Below are 22985 nucleotides of genomic sequence, written 5' to 3'. Positions count from 1 at the left end.
GCAAAATCTGAGTAAGATCTGTAGATCTGCTATTAAGACTGTGCCAATGTTACTGTGCCCATTTTCATAATGGTACTGTAGTTACCAAGAAAAGATCTTTGACTAAGTGTTTAGGAGTAAAGGGGTATCATGTCTGTAAGTTACTCTTAAATGGTAAAAAACAGTATGTATAAAAAGAGGGAATAAAGTAAATGTGATTAAATGTTAATGTTTGAGGATTAAGGGTTAAGGATATTCAGAAGTTCTTTGTTCTATTCTTGCATTTCTCTACATCGGAAATTAACTCAAAATAAAAAGCTCTGCAGGTGGCTCATGCCTGCAATTCTAGCACTTTGGGAGGCCAAGGCAGATTGCTTGGGCCCAGGAGTTCGAGACCAGCCTGGGCAACATGGCAAAACCCTGTCTCTACAAATATATAAAAATTAACTGGGTGTGGTGGTGCATGCCTGTAGTCCCAACTACTCGAGAGGATGAGGCGGGAAGATCACTTGAGCCAGGGAAGCAGAGGTCGCACAGTGAGCTAAGATCATTCCACACTGCACTCCAGCCTGGGTGACAGAGTAAAGCCCTTTCTCAAAAATAATAATAAAAAATTAATTAAAAGCTCAGATTGAGGAAAGTTAGTGAGTTTAGAAACTTAGAAAACAATAGATACTCCACCATAAGGACAGAAACACCTACAATTTACAAAGTACTCTGAGATATTATCCATTTTGAACTCACAACCCTGAAACATAGCACTGGTATTATTCCCCTTTGACAGTTAAAGAGATTGAGGATCAGAAAGTCCTAATGACTTGTCAGATGGTACAAGGCTGTGGTAAGGCTGACCCAAAACTCAGTTTGCTACATCTACCCACCCAAATCCTACTCTTCTTTTAAGGCTTAATTACTAGTCCCTTCATGATTCTTTCCAATCCAAACAAACCTCATCCTTGACCTCTAATTAAACAATACTCATTTTCTAATTATTTTATTTTATTTGAGACAGCATCTCGCTCTGTCACCCAGGCTGGAGTGCAATGGCTCGATCTCGGCTCACTGCCACCTCCGCCTCCCTGGTTCAAGTGATTCTCCTGCCTACTTGTACAATACTCCTGAGCAGCTGGGACTACAGGTACCTGCCACCACACCCAGGTAATTTTTGAAATTTTTAGTAGAGACAAGATTTCACCATGTTGGACAGGCTGGTCTCAAACTCCTGACGTCAGGTGATTCACCTGTCTCGGCCTCCTAAAGTGCTGGGATTACAGGCGTGAGCCACTGCGCCCAGACATTTTCTAATTATTTTAGATGTTAATCTCACTCTTCCAAATAGGACTAATTACTGCTCTGGAGACAAAAAACAGTCCTACTTGTACAATACTCCCTGTCACTGGGCACTCTAATTAGATTCCAATTCCTGCTTCCTTGCCTTTACTAACACTGTAACACCAACACCACTGCCAAAAATGCACTCTTTTAATTCTTACTCTTATCCATATGTTACTTTTCCTTTAAGGACCAGTTCAATTCCAATCTATTCAAACAAGCATTTCCTAGGCAGCATAGCATGCAGTGAAGACCCCTGGGTCCAAATGTCAAATAGAAGTGGTCTTAAACCTCAATTCCACCATCTACGTGTGTAACCTTAAGCAATTTATTTTATTTCTCTGAAGCCTTCATCATCTAATTTATGAGACGTCTCAAACTGTACCTCCCTCAATGGGTGGTTGTGAAGATTTAATTGGGTAATGCAGATGAAGTACTTAACAGATGCATGTAAAAAGTGTACAGTGGGACTAGGTGTGGTGGCTCATACCTGTAATCCCAGTGCTTTGGAAGGCCAAGGTGGTAGGATCACTTGAGGCCAGGAGTTTGAGACAAACCTGGGCAACACAGCAAGACCCTGTCTCTACAAAAATTAAAAAATTAGCCAGGTACAGTGGCACATGCCTGTAGTCCCAGCTCCTCAGGAGGCTGAAGCACGAGGATCACCTGAGCCCAAGAATTCAATGCTACAGTGAGCCACGATCACGCCACTGTATTCCAGCCTAGGCAACAGAGCAAGACCATGTCCCCCAAAAAATAAATAAATAAAATGTAAAAAGTGTACACTAATTGCTAGCCATGAGAGACTAGGCACAAAGCACTGCACTAAGCTAAGGTTAGGATGCAAAGAAGGTTGCAACCAAAGGAGGAAGTGCATACAGTAGAAAATAAAACTGAATACATAAAAACAATTATTATTGTACAATGCAGAATTAGGTGGACGCAAAACCAACAGCTAAAGGTCCCAGATTGCAAACCAGAGCAAATCAGGTACCAGGTACCAAAAGAGAACCAAGGTATCAAAAGATAAATCTATAGGCCAATAACCCTTATGAATACAAACATAAAACTCCTCAACAAAAGACTAACAAACCAAATCTAGCAACAAACAGGACTACACAAAGTGGATTTATCCCAGATATGCAAGGGTGGTTTAACATGAAAATCAACGAAATACACCATGTTAATAGAATGAAGGACAAAGCTACATGATGATTTCAAGAGACACAGAAAAAGCATCTGACAAAATCCAGTATCCTTTTACAAGACAAAAACACTCAAAACAGGAATAAAAGAAAACTTCCTTAACCTGATAAAGGCCCACAGCTCACAACATACATAATGATAAAGACTGCATACTTTTCCTCAAGATTAGGAACAAGACAAGGATGTCTGATCTTGCCACTTCCTATTCGACACTGAGCTCGAGGTTCCAGTCAGAAAAAAGAGAGTGCGTGTGTGAGTAAGCATGCACGAAAATTGGAAAAGAAGATGTAAAACTGTCTCTATTCACAGATGACAGGCTCTTGTACACAGAAAGTCCTAATGAATCCAGATACATAAAGACTACTGGAACTAATGAACATGTTCAGCACAGCCGCAGAACACAGTATCAACATACAAAAATCAATTGGCTGACACACGCTACAATATGGACAAATCTTGAGGACACTATGCTAAGTGAAATAAGCCAGTCACAAAAGGACAAACACTCTATGACTCCACTAATGAGGTATCTAGAATAATCAAATGCATACAGACAGAAGGTGGAATTGTGGCTGCCAAGAGCTGAAGGCAATAGGGAGTTATGATTTAACGGGTACAGAGTTTCCATTTTACAAGATGAAGAGTTGCAGAGGTGGATGGTGGTGATGGCTGCACAACAATGTGAATGGACAATGCCACCAAACTACATCATTTAAAATGGATAAGATGGTAAATTTTACGTGTTTCACAATTTTTAAAAAACTTTAAAAAAAATCTACTGTATTTCTATACAGTAGCAGTGGACAACCCAAAAAGTAAATCAAGAAAACAATTCCACCTACAATAGCATCAAAAAGTTTTAGGAATAAATTCCACAAAAGAAGCATGATTACACACTGAAAACTACACAACATCTTTGAAAACAATTAAAGACCTAAATAAATAGAAAAAGATTCCATGTTCGTGAACTGGAAGACTTAATATTATAAAATGCAATACTGTCCACACTGGCCTACATATTCAACACTGTTCCTATCAAAATCTCAGCTGCCTTTTTGCTGAAATTGACAAGCTGATCCAAAAATTCACATAGAAATGCAACCAGAATAGTCAATGCAATCTTTAAAAAAATTTTTTTTTAATAATTAGTCTCTGGTTATCCAGCCAATGCAATCTTGAAGGAAGGCTCATACTGATTCCAAACTTATTACAACAAAGCTGAAGTAATCAAGACAGTGTGGAAGTGGCATAATGATGAACACATAGTATCAACAGAATAGAATTGAGAGTCCAGAAATAATTCTTCATTTTATGATCAAGTGACCTTCAACAGGGTGCCAAGATGAAAGTCTTTTCAACAAATGAAGCTGGAATTACTGGATAGTTACATAACAAGAATGACATTGGAGCCCTCATGCCATATGCAAAACTTAACTCAAAATGAATTACAGAACTAAACATTAAGAACTAAAACTATAAAATTATTAGAATACAAGTAAATCTTTGTGACCTTGGATTTGTTGCCAACAACACAAGTAACAGAAAAAAATACTGGTAAACTAGATTTACAAAATTTTAAATTTTTGTGCTCAAGGGACTTCATCAAGAAAGTGAAAAGAGGCTGCATGCGGTGGCTCATGCCTGTAATCCTAGCACTTTGGGAGGCAGAGGCGGGTGGATCATTTGAGGTCAGGAGTTCAAGGCTGGCCTGGCCAACATGGTGAAATTCTGTCTCTATTAAAAATACAAAAATTAGTTGGGCATAGTAGTGGGTGCCTGTAATCCCAGCTACTCAGGAGGCTGAGGGAGGAGAAACGCTTGAACCTGGCAGGTGGAGTTTGCAGTGAGCTGAGATCATGCCACTGCACTCCAGCCTGGGCGACAGAGCAAGACTCTGTCTCAAAAAAAAAAAAAAAAAAGTGAAAGGAAAAGCCACAAAATAGGAAAAAATACCTGTAAATCATATATCTAATAAGGGACTTGTATCTAAGCTATATAAAGACCTTTTTCAATGACAAAAAATATCACCTAATTTAAAGATGGGAGAAGAATCTGAATGGCCACTTCTCAGATCAGATATACGAATGGCCAATAAGGACATGAAAAGATGCTAATCATCATTAGCCATTAGGAAAATGTAAATCAAAACCATAATGAGATACCACTTTACATCTATTAGGATGGCTAAAATCAGAAACAAGAACCCTAACAAATGCTGGCAATGGAAAGGATGTGGAGAACCTAGTGCCTCCATACATTGCTGATGAGAATGTAGAACTGTGCAGCTGCTTTGCAAACAGTCGGGCAGTTCCTCAAAAAGTTAAACAGAGCCTGAGCAACACAGTGAAACCCCATCTCTACAAAATATAGAAAAAATTAGCCAGGCGTGGTGGCATGCACCTGCAGTCCCAGCTACCTGGGAGGCAGTGGTGAGAGGATGGCTTGAGCCTGGAAGGTGGGAGGTTGCAGTGAGCTGAGATTGCACCACTGAACGTCAGCCTGGGCAACAGAGGGAGTCCGTCTCAAAAACAAAACAAAACAACACAAACAAAAGTTAAACAAAGTTACCATATAACCCAGCAATTCCACCCCTAGGTATATAACCAATAGAATTGAAAATATATGTCCACACAAACATTTGTACATGAATGTTCATAGCAATATTATTCATAATAGCCCCAAAGTTAGAACAGCCCAAATGCCCATTAACTGATGAACGGACAAACAAAATGGGCAATAGCCATACAATGAAATTTATTTGCCCATAAAAAGGAATAAAGGATATATGCGACATGATGGACGAACCTTGAAAACACTACACTAAATAAGACAAGTCACGTACAAAAGTATCATATAGTATGATTCCACTTAAACGAAAATAGGTAAGTCCATAGAGTTATAATAGAAAGTAGATTAGTGGTTGCCAGAGGCTGGGTGGAAGGGACAAATGGGGAGTGGCTGCTATTATGGGGTTTTTGGGTGAAGGGGTGAAAATTCTAGAATTAGACAGTGGTGCTGATTGCACAACTCTGTGAATATACTAAAAACCATTAAATCATACACTTTGTGGACTTTAAAAGGGTGAATTTTATCATATGGGAATTTTATCTGAATAAAGCTGTTATTTAAAAGTTGAGAGAAACTGAAAGGTACATTCAGAGAAGGAAGAGTTAGGGACAGGGCAAAAGGTGGAAGGGACAGTGCTAAATTGATAAGCTGAGCAAAAAACAAGAGTCTGGGCTTTAATTCCAGAGTCACTGGGAAGGAGCCAACAAAGGTTTCTAAGAAATAGTGACTGACAGGCCTCAGAAACGTGGCTCGAGGACGATTAACCTGCAGCAGTGTAGAGAATGCACATTTTATGACCCTATCTTTGTAAGATTTTCACTATATGCCTCACATTGCAAAGAGATTCACAAGTGGAATAACATATAAAACATATTTCTCTTACATCAGTTATACAGTCAATTATCAAGGAATAAATGATATTTAAAAGGACATTTAAAATCAGCACACACTTAACTACCATTCTCTCCCGTCTGTGCACACATGTTTTAGGGAAACTTCAAAAGAATGGGAGAAAGAAGGGACCAAAGTCAACAAAACACAGACGTCATAACTCTAAAAATATTCAATATTATTGCAGCAAACTGCTCAATAAGTGCTCCCTGACTGAAAACCACTAATAAGAACAGCAAAACAACTGAGTTGGCTTAATCTTGTTTGTTATTATACAAAATCCAATCAGTCACTGTTTGCAGAAAATATCTTGTAAGGTTCAAAGTATAAAATTCTTCAACCAGGTTTCAATCTGTTTTGAACATTCCATTTGAAACGGGAAGTCAGCTGAGTCATCATCACATAATATACTACTGCTAAAAATTCAAAATGCTTTTCCCTAGTTACAAGAGTGGAAATGCTAGGATTTCTCCTTCATAGCCAACTCAAACACACAGAGTATGCAAATCATTTTTAAAATAAGACATCTTAAATAGGAAATTTAAACTATATTTATTTTCATGGGTGGCTTTTTTTTAAGATGGAAAGAAGCTATGCCTTAGTCGAATATTACTTCCTTTTGAATCTCAAACATCTTCCTCTTATTGATACTATTCAGCTCCTCTGACAACCTCCTCATAAAGAAGCAGTTTCTTAATCTTTGAGGAGTAATGACCCTTTGAGATCTAATGAGCACTAAAGACCATATCTGCTTTTGTTGTGGGGTTTTATTTTTATTTTTATTATTTTATTTTGGCATACATTCAATTTTGCAAACCACTTCATAACACCTGTGGTCCCTCTGTGGCATCGGGATGAGAACCCTTGGTCTGGTGGCACCGTGCCACTCTAATTTCAATGGGGCATTCTTTTAAGAAAGCGTATTACAAGCCCAGCCCCAATGTTTCATTTTCCTACCAGGGTTATCAGTTCATCACTGGTCAAAGCTGAAAACAAGCAACTTTTATGTCCCACAGTAAGGGAGCTACCTTTGGCATAAATCTTCATAAAAGCAGTAATCATTATGGCTGATCGATTTAAATACAAAGACCTGTAATTACTGTAACCTCAAATATTTAAAATTACATCTCGGTTTAAACCAATTGTTTGGCATTTCCTAAAATGAAAGAAACACCAAGTCAGTGTAGAAGTAAGAATATTGGATAACCTTTCGGTTAATTTACTTCAAAATGCTGTGGGGAGGGAATACTGAAGACAAACACATCATCACCTATGGGATACTCCTGCCAAAAAGGGTCAACCTGAACCTAATCATACAGACAAGACCCAAAAAATGCAAATTTCAGTCTGCAAAAACAACTAGACTGGACTATTTCAAAATGTCATTGTCAAGAGAGAAGCAGAAAAGGGCAGGAAAATGCTCCTAATGTAAGAGAAACTTCAGACACAACTAAATGCAACCCAGGATACAGCAATTGAGTGAAAGAACAAATACAACTTTAAAAAAAATTTTGAGAAAATTGGGAAAATCTGAATAGGGACCAGACAGAATTGTAAAGTTAAACTTCCTGTGGGTGATCATTTGATTGCTGTCAGGTAGAATGCCCTTATTCTGTGAGATACCTACTGCCATACTTTGGTGTGCAATGTCACGATAGAACAAATGTGGCAAAATATTAATAATCACTAAAACTAGGTAAAGAGATACAGGTATTAGTTGCAACATTTTTCCAATTTTGCTTAAGGTTAGAATGATTGATTATTTATTTGAGACAGAGTTTTGCTTTTGTGCCCAGGCTAGGCTGGAGTGCAATGGCGCAATTTCGGCTCACTGCAACCCTCGCCTCCCAGGTTCAAGCGATTCTCCTCCCTCACCCTCACAAGTAGCTGGGATTACAGGCATGTGCCACCACACCAGGCTAATTTTGGTATTTTTAGTAAAGATGGGGTTTCACCATGTTGGTCAGGCTGGTGTTGAACTCCTGACCTCCAGTGATCTGCCCACCTCGGCCTCCCAAAGTGCTGGGATTACAGGCATGAGCCACTGTGCCCGGCCAATTTTTTAAAATTTTAAAATGAGATAGGGATTTCTGTTTTTTCAGTGAGAGATTTATCATGCATCAGCCTGAACAGAATACATATAACGCATACCATTTTAGTCTTTCCAATCATGGGCAATACTTTTGCAGTTGTCATTAAAATTGTAAATATGTTTTGCAATTTATACTTTCAGACATTTCAGATGCCAAAAATCAAAAGAGCTTACAGAATGGTATTCTTTTGATGTTTATATTCAAATTTTCCACAGAGGGTTGTTACACATTTTTAAATTAAGTTTACAGATTGTGATTAATTTATCCTATCAAGTGATTTACCACCTAATTGCCAAATTAAGCTGGAAAAAAAGCATATTGGGTTGGTACATTAAAAATGAGCAAAAACCACAATTAACTTTCGCACCAACCTATAGCAATATGCATGTGTTGGCCTGCAAACCGTATCACAGCAAAGCAAAAGAAAAGCTTAACAAAATCAGATTTTCTTTCTTTTTTTTCAGACAAAGGTTGATGAATTGCATGAGTGGGATCCACCTTAGCTACGGAGACCTAATGCCTTGGGGTTTTACTCCTGCTGTCCTAGTCATTTCTTTTCTTTCTTTCGAAACAGAGTTTCACTCTGTTGCCCAGGCTGGAGCGCAGTGGCACAATCTCGGCTCACTGCAACCTCCACCTCCCAGGTTCAGATTCTCCTGCCTCAGCCTCCCAAGTAGCTGGGATTACAGGCACATGCCATCACACCCAGCTAATTTTTGTACTTTTAGTAGAGACGGGGTCTCACCATGTTGGCCAAGCTGGTCTTGAATTCCTGACCTCAAATGATCCACGTGCCTCAGTCTCCCAAAGTGCTGGGATTACCCGTGTGAGCCACTGCACCTGGCCAGTCCTAGTCATTTCTAATATAGCATTTGTCCCACGCAAAAGCATCTCAGATAAGTGTCCCAGTTTAGATGCAACATTATATGGTATATAGCACTTTTAACAACTTTTGTTATATGATGACATACAGTTGGTTTATGGGGGGACAAATCAGTATAACGTGAAGTTAACTTCTACTTTAAACAAAACACATTTAGTACATGATAGTAAAGTCATCACTAGAATGAACATAACATATTGAGATAACTGCTTTTACTCTTTTAGAATAAAAAAGGAGAAACCAAAATTATATTTTATCTATTGTGCAATATAAAATAAAATACTGCACATGGGAGGAATACTAGAATTAGAGTCAAAAGGCCTGTTTAAATCCCAGCTGGGTCACTTGACAGAGAATATAAACTTGCGTAAGTTACTGAATCTGTTTCAACCACAGCTTTCTCACTTGAGAAATGAAGAAGTCAGAATGCTGGCTGATCTCTATCTAAAGTCATAGTCCAGCTCTAAATATTCAATGATTCTATGATTCTGGCCTCCAAAATATTTTTTCAGACTAGACCAGCTGAGTTCTACTGGTCTAGACCAGTACTGGTAGATTTTTTTTTTACAACTGCAAAATGTAACTTAGCATCTTCTCTCCCCAAACTCCTATTTCTGCTCTGACTTGTTCTGTTCAGAGGTTGGGTCAAACTCTCATTCACCCATGATGAAGATTCCTATGTATTTTTGACTCCTCTGACACCTAATCAGCTGTCAAATCCCAGATTCTTAACTTCCTCAGTATCTTATACACTCATCTTTTTTTTCCTTTCTCTCTCTTTTTGCTTTGAGACAGGGTTGCACTCTGTTTCCCAGGCTGGAATGCAGTGGCACAAACTCAGCTCACTGAAGCCTCAAACTGCTGGGCTCAAGCAAACCTCCCACCTCAGCCTCCCAAGTAGCTGGGACTACAGGTGCACACCACCACACCCAGCTAATTTTTTAAAATTCTTTTGTAGAGGCAGAGTCTTATCATGTTGCACAGGCTGGTCTCAAACTCCTGGGCTCAATCCTCCTGCCTTGGCCTCCCAAAGTGCTGGGATTACAGGCGTTAGCCACTGGGTCCAGCCTCACTCACCTCTTTTTGCCACCACTTCAATTCAGGCCTCCATCGCTTCTTGCCTAGATCGCTAGTTTTCTCCCATAAATACACCTGGTTAGTAATCCCAGACCAGAAGATTATTCTATCACATCAGTACGCAACAAAAAGCATGCAATAGCTCCCATACCTAAAAATTTATGCACAAGTTCCTCAACCTGACATTCAAGAACCTCTATATCTGGCCTTAACCAGTTTGCTACAAATACCTTATATAACCTGAACTACCCACTGCAATATCAAAATCTCCTGTACTTTCTGGATTTTTGTGTCCTTACTTCTGTTGTTGTTCTTACAATGCCCTTTTATCTGCCTTTCAAAACTGATTCCATTCTTCAAAGTTCAGTTCTAATGGTAATCGCCCTCATGTAGATATTATGGCTCCCATGATACTAACATAATGTGACAATTTTAATGGCCAACTGTGAATTTTAAAAGACAGTTTACCTATGATAGTAAACTAAATTTATTATTTGTGCCAATGTTGTTTAACTGGCACTGGCTACCAGGCACACTGTCTTGAGGATTTGCAGCTTAGCAGAGGAAAAGGAGAATGGCAACACATCTTTGACATTCAGAAACCAGGGCTTCCAAATTGAGGATCTACATAATAGGGTCTAGGCTTCCATGTTATTAAAAGATTTTTTTTTCTTTTTTCAGACAGAGTTTCACTCTGTCAAGTAGGCTGGAGTGCAGTGGCACAATCTCGGCTCTCCGCTCCCAGGGTTCAAGTAATTCTCCTGACTCAGCCTCCCGGGTAGCTGGGAATACAGGCGCATGCCACCACGCCCAACTAATTTTTGTATTTTTAGTAAAAATGAGGTTTCACTATGTTGGCCAGGCTGGTCTCGAACTCCTGACCTCAAGCAATCCACCTGCCTTGGCCTCCCAAAGTGCTGGGATTATAGGTGTGAGCCACAGCACTCGACCAAAAGATGTTTAAATTAACTCAACATCTAAAAGTTTGGAGGCTTTCACGTTACAATTCCTAATGAAGATCTAGAGCAGTGGTTCTCAGCCAGGGTCGATTCTGCGCCACTCCCAGGGACATCTAGCAATATCTGGAAGCATTGGTGATTGTCACAACTGGACGGGGAGTGCTACTGCGGATGCTGAACATCCTGTGATGCACAGAACAACCCTCAAAATAATAAATTATCTGGTCCAAAATGTCAAGTGCCCAGATGAAAAAACTGATCTAGAAGTATTGCATGCATCTGTGGGTCCCGCCTACCAAAAGAAATTTTCAAATTTTGCAAGTTCGAAGCCTAAAAAGTTACTCCAATTACCAGTGATATGGTCTCCTCCAAGTTACTTAACCTCTTTATACATCAAATTCTCCATCTGTAAAACGGAGATAACAATACTACCTACCTCACAGGGTTTTTCAAGGATCAGATGAGTCCATGTAAAATCTTAGGAAAAGTGTGCCAGGCACATAGTAAGCAATCAATAAATTTAACTACTTACATTCTTCCCTGGCTTAGTGCCCAGTCCCACAGTTGAAATATCGAAAATGCTCAAAAAATGGTTACTCAATGAATACAATGCCTTGATTTCCTGGAGAGAGCACTATGGGTAAAGACAGATACATTCTTTTTTGTGAAAAAGGAAACACAGCTAGAGATGGAGATGAAGGAAGCATCTGCCCACCTAATCACCTCTCTCCTTCCTCAGAACACTTTTAACCTGCAAGAAATGCTCCCCTCTCATTGGATCCTTAGTACACACTGCCTTACAATCTCTTTGATATTTGTTTTTCCTTTCATGCCTTCTGACCGACTGAATATTCTCAAGCACATGAATGGGATGGTATCTTTTGATTCCTACGTCATCTACCTAGTACTACTGTTATTTATGCATTTATGATAGTCTTTCTACTAGACTGTACATGCCCTCTGTGAACACGGACAGCACTTTACTCCTTTTATGTAACCCAAAGGGCCTAACAGACCTCAGCAACTGGCTGGCCCACGCCGCTCGTTTTATAGATTGGACAGAGAGGCTAAGTGACTTGCCAAGAGTCAAGGTCATATTGCAAGTAGCAGAGCTGGAATTCAAACTCTGATAAATAGCCAACCCAGACTCGAGTTCTACCTAATATTAAAATTATACCTGTGGCACAGACAATTTTTAATTAAGTACTAGAGCACCTTCATAGGAATTATACTGATATAGTTACCTGATAAAACAAAAATGGAAGGAGAAACAGACCTCTAAGCTCTGTTCTGCTGATATTACACCTTAATGGCTCAACCTGTTTTCTTTAATGGTTTCATATCTTAACATTTCCTTACTAGATTTTGACAAAATTTATGTAAATATACCACAAATAGTCAGTGATGTCAGACTTAATTTCCTTTAAATGATCCCATAATTATTTTGAGTAACAGAGAATCCCTTACTGGGTAAACCAATGATGCCTATCCTTCACCATCTGAACACATTCTTTAACGATCACCTGAACAGATTAGTATCTTATGAAACTCAATAGGCCAGCAATTTGGAACAATTCTACGCGGTGCAAAATATTCAGACGATTTGAAATGTGAGTGTTAAAAACCCCAATGTAAACCTAAAACCCGCAATCATCAAGAGCAAACTACATTAAAACCTGAGATAGGAGAAATTTCATTTTATTTTCAACAAGTGAAAAAAAAGAAAAAAAGAAAGCTATTCACGGATTTGGTTAATTGGCTAAGTTTCCCTGAGTGTCCCAATATGATGCAAAAGAAAAAGGGGAATAAGAAAGGAAAAGACGGTAGGAAAGAAAATGAATGTGAAAAGGAGTTAAATACAGTACAATTCCTTGATGCTTAAGCAATTACAGCTCAATGAAGCTAAATATTTCCATTCCATAAAGACATCGTTTAAAAAAAAAAAAAAATTCTCCCTTCACGGTGATGCAAAAGCAGCAGGGCCCAACAGGAACGATAACCTCTTCTGGAGAAAAGATTTTTAATTATTTTACCAGCTGATAAAAAGAGCACACACCGAACATGGACAGAAATGGAGTTTCGAAGGAAAACAAAACGCAGCTTATGCTTGGTAAAGTTCAAGGACAAAACTGTGTCCAATGCAACAGAATCCGCCTGACTACAATGTATGGGGGGGGGGGGGGGGCGGGGGGGAATGCGAACACATAGTATCTTTTTATAAAAGCAACAATTTGAGCTACAAAGTAATAACGGGGAAGCCAAAACAGTTTGACAGCCCGCCATAAGGGCCGCCTCAATCATGAGTCACACAATGCCTGCAACCATTTACAATAGTAATTAATGCACAAGTCCCCTAATTAAATTCTAAAAGGGTGAGAATGCTTTAACTAAGTTTACAAGAATTGCTTTGCGCTTTTTTTTTTTTTTTTTAAAGAAAGAAACACACGCGTAATTACGCATCTCCCCGCAATCCCTCCAGTATTCCCCCAGGCCGCTTCTCCCGAATGTCTGCTCTCCGGGTGCGGAAGAAAATGTCACGGGGGAACTTCTCAACCCAGAAAAGGCGAATCGGAGTAGAAATATACGATTATCGTGGGGCGGGAGACGGAAAGCTCGCCCATCTTACCTGCTAAGATTTCTTTCTACGTCTTTGGTAGCTTTAGCTTCCAATTCTCTGAAACAAAAAAACAAAAACAAAAACAAAACAAAAACACACACACAAAAACGAGATGCGCGTGAAAACGGAGCTGCTGCGGCAGAGGCTCGCGCCGGGGCCGGATGGGGGAGGGGAGAGGACGGGGGGAGGGGGACTCACAAAGCTGCGGGGCTGCAGCCCGGACTGCGGTCCCGCGGCGCGGGCGAGGCGCAACCCCGGCCTGGCCCCCGCGGCGCGGCGCAGCGAGGCTCCCCCGGGCCGCCCGCTCGGCCTCCGCAGCAACGCAGCCTGCGCCCTCCCGCCGAGGCCCGAAGTCTCGGGGACGCCCGGCGCCGCCGCCTCTGCTGCCGCCGCCGCGGGTTGCGGGCCCTGCGGCAGCGCCCGCGGCTCCTCCCGCCCGGAGGGAGGCCCTTGTTCCGCTCACCTCATGTGTGTAAAGTGCACGAGCAAGTGGGGCGCGGCGAAGGAGGCTCGCGAGCCTCAAGCCCTCCGCAGCGCCGCGGGGAGAGGCCCGAGCCGCTGCACCAGCGCCATTTTCTACACCGACCCGCTGCCGCCGCCGCCGCCGCCGCCGCCGCCGCCGCCGACACCGCCGCCGCCGCAGGCCCCAGACCGGAAGTGAATGCCCCACTCGGCAACCCCTTCCGGGGGCGCCACGGCCACTGGCCCCCAAGATGGAGGCCCTAGCAACTGGACCCGCAGATTGGGCAGGTCCTTGGCAACCGCCCCGGCGTGTCACGCTGCACCCAGCCGGACCTCCCTGGAGGTCACAGCCTCCGAGGCGCCCCGCGGAGTGGCTGGGGGGGCCTGCGGAGTCCCGAGTCCAACCTTTTTCGGTGCGGCCGGCTCCGGTCTGACCGAGGAGGGGAGTCCCTCCCCTCCTCCTCCTTCTTTGCTGCGACACAAGTTTCCTACCCGCCGCCCGGCCCCTCCCCCACTGACACACGCCAAAAAAAAAAAAAAAAAAAATTGCCTAAAACGCAAATTTTACCCCAACTGCAGCCTGATGAGCCCGCGCGGCTTTTGAATTCAGCCACTTCTAATTATTTTTGACCTTGGGCCAGTTATTTAACCTCTCTGCTTCTCTGTTCCTCCTCAGGTAAAGAATGCATACCTGAGGCGGGTTGTGAGGCTTAAAAGCGATTTTTATCCACCGACCTTTGACTCAGCAGTTCCGCCTGCACGGATTTTCTGCTCAGGAAATAATTCTGGGTATCTGCAAATATTTCACCTTCGAGATACTAAGCTGTGGTATTGATGATGGTGAAAAATTGCAAACAGCCAAAATGTCCAGCGCTACTAGATGGCTTCAAAAACAGCTACTGGCATGTATTAGGACACTGTAAAAATGATGTGGAGGAATAATCCCGGCATGGAGGAAATGGTTGCAATAGAATAAATGAAAAAGCAGGTTCCAACGTAGCTCACACAGTAAGAAACATCTTAGTGTAGACACAGTAAGATACATACATGTAGATAGACTAAGATATGTATATATGTAGACACAGATGCATATGTGTACATTAAAAGTATACATACATACCTACATGTAGATACAATAAGACATACATATCTGCAGGTAGATACAACAATACACATACATGTAGATACAGTAAGATACATATTTTCACTTGCGTGTGTTCTTTCCAACCTCTCATCAAGCTTTTTCTTCTAATTTAAAGATAATTCCTCCTCTGTGCTTAAAATCTATAACCTTTACTTTCTCAGAAACCCCACTCTGTGGATCATCCCATTCTCCTTTTTCTAACCTAAGTTCTTCAACTGGCTTTTTTTTTTATTTTTTTATTATATTATCATTTTTTTTAGGCGGAGTCTCGCTCTGTCTCCCAGGCTGGAGTGCAGTGGCGCGATCTCCGTTCACCGCAACCTCCGCCTCCCGAGTTCAAGCAATTCTCCTGCCTTAGCCTCCCAAGTAGCTGGGATTACAGACACGCACCACTGCGCCTAGCTATTTTTGTATTTTTAGTAATGACGGGGTTTCGTCATGTTGGCCAGGCTGGTCTTGAACTCCTGACCTCAGGTGATCGCCCCCCTCGGCCTCCCAAGGTGTTGGGATTACAGGCGTGAGCCACCGCGCCCAGCTTCAACTGGCTTTACAACATGCTTGAATCTCTCCCGTTAAAAACAAACAAAACTTCCCTAGACATGTTGGGTTCCTGTCCTCTCCGATAGGTTAAGCTAGTGAATGAATGCACAGAAAGTCATGAAACATATGCACCAAAACGTTAACTGATTATGACTTTTTTTCATTTTCTTCTTTTAGTGTATCTGTTTTTTTCTTTTTTGCGATGAGCATATAAAAAACACTTTTTTGAAAAAAAAAATCAGGTTTACAAAATATAAAATGTAGTGGGCACCGAATAAATGCTAGTGACTTTCCTTTTCCTGCTATCATCCCTGAGGTTCATTTACCTACACACATATTTGTTTTTCTTTCATAATCCTTTCTACTTAAAATGTTTAAAAGTTACTATGGTGTTTCATTAGGAGTTTAAAAATATGAACATATACGTAATGGCACAATATGCTTTCATACCAGGTTTAGGAATAATTTTTCACAACAACATAAGGCAATGAAAACAGTCATATTTATCAACATTTGCACAGCTGTTAAGATTGGCTGATTTTTTTTTTATTAGACTTTTTTAGGTTTTAATGACTCAGTGATTCTTAATTGGGACAATGTTGCCCCCATCCCTACCCCTGGGGACATTTAGCAATGAACTTTTTGGTTGTCACACTGGATGCTACTGATTGGTATCTGATAGCTACAGACCAGGGATTCTACTAAATATTCTACGATGCGTAGGACAGTCCCCTACAACACGGGAGTATCTGAACCAAAATGCCAATAGCACCAAGGTTGAGAAAGCCTGGAACTAATTCCCAGCTCCAGCAAAGCTAATAAGATATGATTTCTTGGCCAGGCGCGGTGGCTCATGCCTGTAATCCCAGCACTTTGGGAGGCCGAAGTGGGCAGATCATCTGAGGTCAGGAGTTTGAGACCAGCCTGGCCAGCATGAGGAAACCCGGCCTGTAGTAAAAATAAAAAATTAGCCAGGCATAGTGGTGCATGCCTGTAATCCCAGCTAATTGGGAGGCTGAGGCAGGAGAATCGCTTGAACCCAGGAGGCAGAGGTTGCAGTGAGCTGAGATCACACCATTGCACTCCAGCCTGGGCAACAACAGTGAAACTCCACCTTAGGGAAAAAAAAAAAAAAAAAGATGTGATTTCCAGAAGGTTTGTTGACAGTGATTGGACATCCCATCTGAGCCCTCCTGGGCTGCAATGTAGAGTGTTTTATATGAGGTCATGCTAGTCACTTTTAAATTATCTCTTACTTAAACTTGGTGCATACATCGAAGAAAAATGACAATATAAGATCAGCACTGATTCCTTATGTGGGACCCTCTAAGGGATCTTTTCCTGTTACTATCTTTTCTTTTTACTAAGTAATCATTCTCTCTACTGAATATTTCCCATCACCACACAAACTCTAGTAACTTTCATTAAAAAGCAAAAAGCCCAAAACTCCCTTGATGCGTCATTCCTCTCCAGCTCCATTTTTCTGCTCTCGTTCCCAACAATGCTTTCTTGGGAAACTGTTCAACACAAGCACCTTCCACTGGCTCTCCTCCTTCTCCCAGCTCTCTTTAACCTGATATCCCCATCCCTCCTGCAAAACTGCTCTTATGAAGGTCGCAAATGACTTTGAGGGTGCCAAACTCAATGGAAACATGTCTGTCCTCATCTTGATTTACTTCTTAGCTACATTTGCCACAACCTAACTCTCCCTCCTTCTTAAGAGAATCTCTTTGCTAGGCCATCCTGACAGTATATTCTTCTGGAGTTCTTTTTACCTCTCTAGCCATTTTTTTTTTTTTTTGGTATCTTTTGCTAACATCTTCTGTTTTATATCAAATAAATGTTGGAGATCTCCCCACTCCCAAGGCTTTGTTCCAGACTTCTGTTCTTCCCCCTTCTCTACTCTCCCTTTAGGATGGGTAATCTCATTTATTCTCTTGTATTTAAGTACTCTCTGAATGCAGATTACTCTCAGATTTAAACCTTAACCGTTGTCTCACCTGTGTACCCCTGAATGCCAAAATGACAATTCACTCACACAGTATTTATTGAGCACCTACTATGTGCCAGGCACTGTGCTAGGACTGGCTTCTCTGGTTCTTGTGAGGAACTACAGTGGTGGATGAAGTCTAGCAAGGCAGACAGATTTGTTTTTTTTTTTTTTTAGACATAGTCTTGCTCCGTCACCCAGGCTGGAGTGCAGTGGCATGATCTCAGCTCACTGCAACCTCTGCCTCCCGGGTTCAAGCGATTCCCTTGCTTCAGCCTCTCCAGCAGCTAGGATTACAGACGTGTGCCACTACACCTGGCTAATTTTTGTATTTTTAGTAGAGACAGGGTTTCACCATGTTGGCCAGGCTGGTCTCGAACTCCTGACTCAAGTGATCACCCGCCTCGGCCTACCAAAGTGCTGGGGTTAGGCATGAGCCACCGTGCCTGGCCGATTTTTTTTTTTTCTTAAGCAAACAAAAAGTGTATAATTACAAACTATGGCAAGTGCACAGAAGGATAGGAATGTTGCTCTAAGAAAGTGTAAAACAAAGGAACACAACATTGATTATGCAACAAAGAATGTTTCTTTGAAAATGTAAAGCTTCACCTGAGAATGGAGAGAGGAGCTGGGGAGGGGGAGAGGAGGGGGTCTCAGGCTGGAGGGTTACATTTATGGTTACATTTGTGGGTTATCAGTGCGGAGGGAAACAGGCTTCATATTGTATTTGGCTTTAAATCTGCCAGACCGAGGCAAATGGATTGCTGGAGCTCAGGAGTTCGAGACTAGCCTGGGCAACATGGCAAAACCCCATCTCTACTAAAAATACAAAAGTTAGCCAGGTGTGGTGGTGTGCATCTGTAATCCCAGCTACTCAGGAGGCTGAGGTGGGAGGATCGCTTGAGGCTGGGGCAGGGGGTAGGTTGCAGTAAGCCAAGATAATGCTACTGCACTCCAGTCTGGGTGACAGAGTGAGACCTTTTCTCAATAAATAAATAAATGAAACTGCTAGTGTTGTCATTTTCATTTTACTTGCATCAATCCATTAGGAATGGAACCAGAAACAAGGTCCTGTAAAGAGAAACACGCTGTACAAATTTAATTTTAAATAAGCCCTTTTTCTCCATTTGTCTTTGTTCCTGTGGCTTTTGAAGTTATCAGGACAAAGATGTTCTCTAACTTCTCCTCCTTCTCTTACTGAGAAGGGCAAATGATGAGCCTAATACTTTGGAAATTATGTACTTGGAAGAAAAGATTTTGTTTTCCTCCCAAGGCTTTACCAAACAGCATTGTGAGATATATAGGTATTTTTTTTAGGCAAGGCTCATGCATAATATTTTTAAATTTTAAAATTTTTTCACAGTAATGTATAAACATGAACGTGGATATGAGTTCCTGGAGAGAATTTATTTATTTATTTATTATTTATTTTAACAAGGTCTTGCTCTGTCACCCTGGCTGGAGTGCAGTGGCACGATCTCGGCTCACTGCAACCTCCACCTCCTGGGCTCAAGTGATCCTCCCACCTCAGCCTCAAGTAGCTGAGACTACAGCCGCAAGTCACTGCACCTGGCTACTTTTTGTATTTTTTGTAGAGATGGGGTTTCACCATGTTGCCCAGGCTGGTCTCCAACTCCTGAGCTCAGGTGATCCGCCTGCCTCGGCCTCCCAAAGTGCTGGGATTACAGGTGTGAGCCACCACGCACAGCCAAGTGTATTTATCTTATTTAACTAAAATGTATTTGAAAGTTAATATGTGCCAGTCAGGCTCTGTTCTAAGTGCTTCACAAATATTAATTAATTATTAATTGTTGCTTTCACATAGCCATGTGAGGTAGAAATATTATCCCCACTTTGCAGATGGGGGTAATTAACTTGCTCAATGTCATATTAAAATAGTAAATGATAAAACAGACAAACAAACAAACAAACACTCAAATGATTTGCTTCCAGAGCCCGCTACATTACAGAACTGTTTTTCTTAACCATATTATATCCTATACCCCTTTTGATAACAAATGTTTTGTAACACCACCTCTTTCTATCCCAACATGATAATCATGGATAATTATGTCTTAATTTACCTAAGACATAATTTCACAATACATACATATTGACATCTCTGATATAAAAGAGAAATAAAAGTAACCATAATAAAATAAAATGTCTTTCATTATGTAAATGTTTGGAAGAGGTCTACACTAGAAGATGCAGTGGGGTAGCTAGGTCTTGACACCTATGTGTACTATCACTACTATAAATAGTCACAGCAGTGATGAATTGATTACTCACACATCAAGAACTGTAGTTATGCTGAAGACATAATTTTTCTGGAATGGAGAACAACTCTCAGTCAAGTTCTGAACAAATAGAAACAGTTGTCTCTCAATTTATGTGATAATTGCATTACTGGAAATTTTGCAATAATTAAAATGGAACAAAAAAAAAAGTTAGGTATTCAGATAATTATAAACATCCCTTTTACCTGTGTGAATGTCCAGTGAGGGAGGAATTCCTCATTTTGTGGAATTAACTCTGTCCAGCATCCACAACTTCTAGCCACTGACTTTTTTTTTTTTTTTGACAGAGTCTTGCTCTGTCACCCAGTCTGGAGTGCAGTGGTACGTTCTTGGCTCACTGCAACCTTCACCTCCTGGGTTCAAGCAATTCTCCTGTCTCAGCCCCCCAGGTAGCTGAGATTACAAACTCATGCCACCACACCCAGCTGATTTTTGTATTTTTAGTAGAGACAGGGTTTCACCATGTTGGCCAGGCTCATCTTGAACCCCTGACCTCAGGTGATCCTCCTGCCTCAGCCTGCCAAAGTGCTGGGATTACAGGCATGAGCCACTGCGCCCTGCCACCATGGACTCTTAATAGCACACATCTCCCCTCAACCAAAAACACTGCAGTCATTTCCCCCAAACCCTCTGCGGAGTGGAGGTGAAGTGTTACTTATTGAGAACCATTGCTGTGGAGGATGAGAAGAGCCAAGGAATGAATCCTGGAAAATCTGATACTGTAATGAAGAAACCAGCAAGGCAAGAGAGAAACAGGATGAGTGTGGCATAATGGGCCCACGTAATATCTCCTGGGTATTTCAGGCTGACATGTCAAAATTTAGCCTCCTCATTCCTCCCTTGACCCAACCAACACCCTATATGGACCTGACCCTTTCCCAGTTTTCCCCCAAGTCGGTAATAACACCACCAGTCACTTAGCTGCCCCAGCCAGAAACCTAAGTGTTAGTTCTGACTCTTCCCTGCCTCTCATGCAATGTATAAGCAACTCGTCTGGTCTCTAATCTGCTTTCTTTGTCTTCTCTTCCTGTGTTTCTCCACTGCCATACCGTAGAACACCCCTAAAACTCCAAAGATTCATTCTCTTTGCCTCTTTTTTGTTGTGGTGGTATAATTCGTATACAATAAAAGTCACACTTTATTTAAGAGTTGTGGCTCACACCTGTAATCCCAGCACTTTGGGAGGCCGAGGCAGGTGGATCATTTGGGGTCAGGAGTTCAAGGCCAGCCTGACCAACATGGTGAGACCCTGTCTCCACTAAAAATACAAAAATTAGCCGGGTGTGGTGGCGGGTGCCTGTAATCCCAGCTACTTGGGAGGCTGACGTAGAGAATCACTTGAACCCGGGAGTGGAGGTTACAGTGAGCCAAGATCATGCCACTGCACTCCAGCCTGGGCGACAGAGTGAGACTCTGTTTCAAAATAAATAAATAAATAAATAAGTAAATAAATAAATAAATAGTTGGGGTCTTGCTCTGTCACCCAGGCTAGGGTGTAGTGGCATAATCATAGCTCGTTGCAGCCTCAAACTCCTGGGCTCAACTGATCCTCCCGTCTCAGCTTCCCAAGTAGCAAGAATGAGAGGTGTGTGTCACCATGCTCAGCTAAATTTTTTATTACTTTTTATAGAGATGGGTTCTTGCTGTGTTGCTCAGGCTGGTCTTCAATGCCTGGCCTCTAGTGATCCTCCCACCTTGGCCTCCCAAAGCACAGGAGTTACAGGCATACTCACACTTTTAAAGTGAAAAATGTAATGCATTTTGACCAATAAATATGCCCATGTAGCGACTACCACAATCACTATATAGAACACTTTTATCACTACAGAAAATTCCCTCGCGCCCCTTCTCAGTGACTCACCTGTTGTCCTCCCACAGACACCTACCACCAGGAAACCGCTTTTCTGATTCACATCACCACAAATTAGTGCTGTCTGTTTTAGATCCTCATAAAAATGAAGTCATACTGTGTATATTCTTTTGGGCTTGACTCCTCTTGCTAAACGTGCCTGTGAGAGTCATTCATATGATTGCGTGTATTAAGTTCGTTCCTTTTTATTGCTGCCAAGTATTCTGTTGAATGGATATACCACAGTTTGTTTACTCATCCTTTTGTTTTAAAATAATAATAATCCACTTCCCGGGCTGAAGCCATCTTCCCACCTCAGCCTCACGAGTAGCTGGGACCAAAGGCATGCACCACCAGGCCGGGCTAATTTTTGTATTATTTGTAGAGATGGGGTTTTGCCACGTTGTCCGGGCTGATCTCAAACTCTTTGGGCTCAAGCAATCCACCCGCCTCAGCCTCCCAAAGTGCTGGGATTACAGGCATAAGGCATGGCACCTGGCCCTACTATCATTATTGTTTGTAGAGACAGGTTTTCATCATGTTGCCCAGGCTAGTCTCAAACTCCTGGGCTCAAGGGATCCACACACCTCAGCCTCCCAAAGTGCCAGGATTACAGGCATGAGCCACCGCACCCAGCCTCTTCCTTGTGTTAATTGACATTTGGGTTGTTTCCAGTTTGGGGCTATTATGAGTAAATCTGGTATGAACAGTTTTTGTACAAGTCTATTTTTGTGGACAGTGGGCATGTGTTTCTATTTCTCTTGGATAAATACCCAGAAATAGAATTACTGGATCACAAGGTAAGTGTATATTTGACTATATAAGAAACTAGAAAACATGTCTAAAATGGTTGTACCCGGTTGCATCTCAACCTCATCAAGAGTTCTAGTTGCTGCCTCTCCTCAGCAGCTTTGCAGGTGTTCATTCTTAGCCCATCAACACCGTTCTCCATACAGCAGCCTTAATTTTTTTGAGACAGTCTCGCTCTGTCACCCAGGCTAGGGTGCGGTGGCATGATCTCGGCTCACTGCAAGCTCCACCTCCCGGGTTCATGCCATTCTCCTGCCTCAGCTTCCCGAGTGGCTGGGACTACAG

At 41.7% G+C, this 22985-nt stretch overlaps 1 protein-coding gene across 48 annotated transcripts in view, besides 1 other annotated feature; it reads right to left on the bottom strand.

Annotated features, from left to right (window-relative positions):
- The window catches only part of TNRC6A (trinucleotide repeat containing adaptor 6A), a 216014-nt gene that overhangs the window by 82304 nt on the left and 110725 nt on the right, over positions 1–22985 (bottom strand). For 19 of the 48 annotated variants that reach the window (NM_014494.4, NM_001330520.3, XM_047433917.1 and 16 more), the window contains exons 1-2: positions 14069–14264; positions 13615–13662 (exon numbers count right to left, since the gene is read on the bottom strand). The exons of 14 other annotated variants lie outside the window; for them this stretch is intronic. In NM_014494.4, the coding sequence (NP_055309.2) occupies positions 13615–13662; positions 14069–14073 (53 nt within the window). In that variant the 5' untranslated portion in view covers positions 14074–14264. Of the gene's footprint in view, positions 1–13614; positions 13669–14068; positions 14265–22985 lie in introns of those variants that run through there. 15 more of the 48 variants (XM_047433911.1, XM_047433919.1, XM_047433928.1 and 12 more) reach the window with 2 other exon arrangements.
- Positions 13926–14235: a silencer, noted in NCBI's record as "silent region_7288". NCBI's record gives its function as "represses an Ori minimal core promoter by ATAC-STARR-seq in GM12878 lymphoblastoid cells {active_cell/tissue: GM12878}" and the evidence as "EXISTENCE:reporter gene assay evidence [ECO:0000049][PMID:35858748]".

This window comes from Homo sapiens, chromosome 16 (genome assembly GCF_000001405.40).
Source record: "Homo sapiens chromosome 16, GRCh38.p14 Primary Assembly".
Taxonomy (NCBI): Eukaryota; Metazoa; Chordata; class Mammalia; order Primates; family Hominidae; genus Homo; species Homo sapiens.
This window is presented reverse-complemented; position numbering and strand designations above follow the sequence as displayed.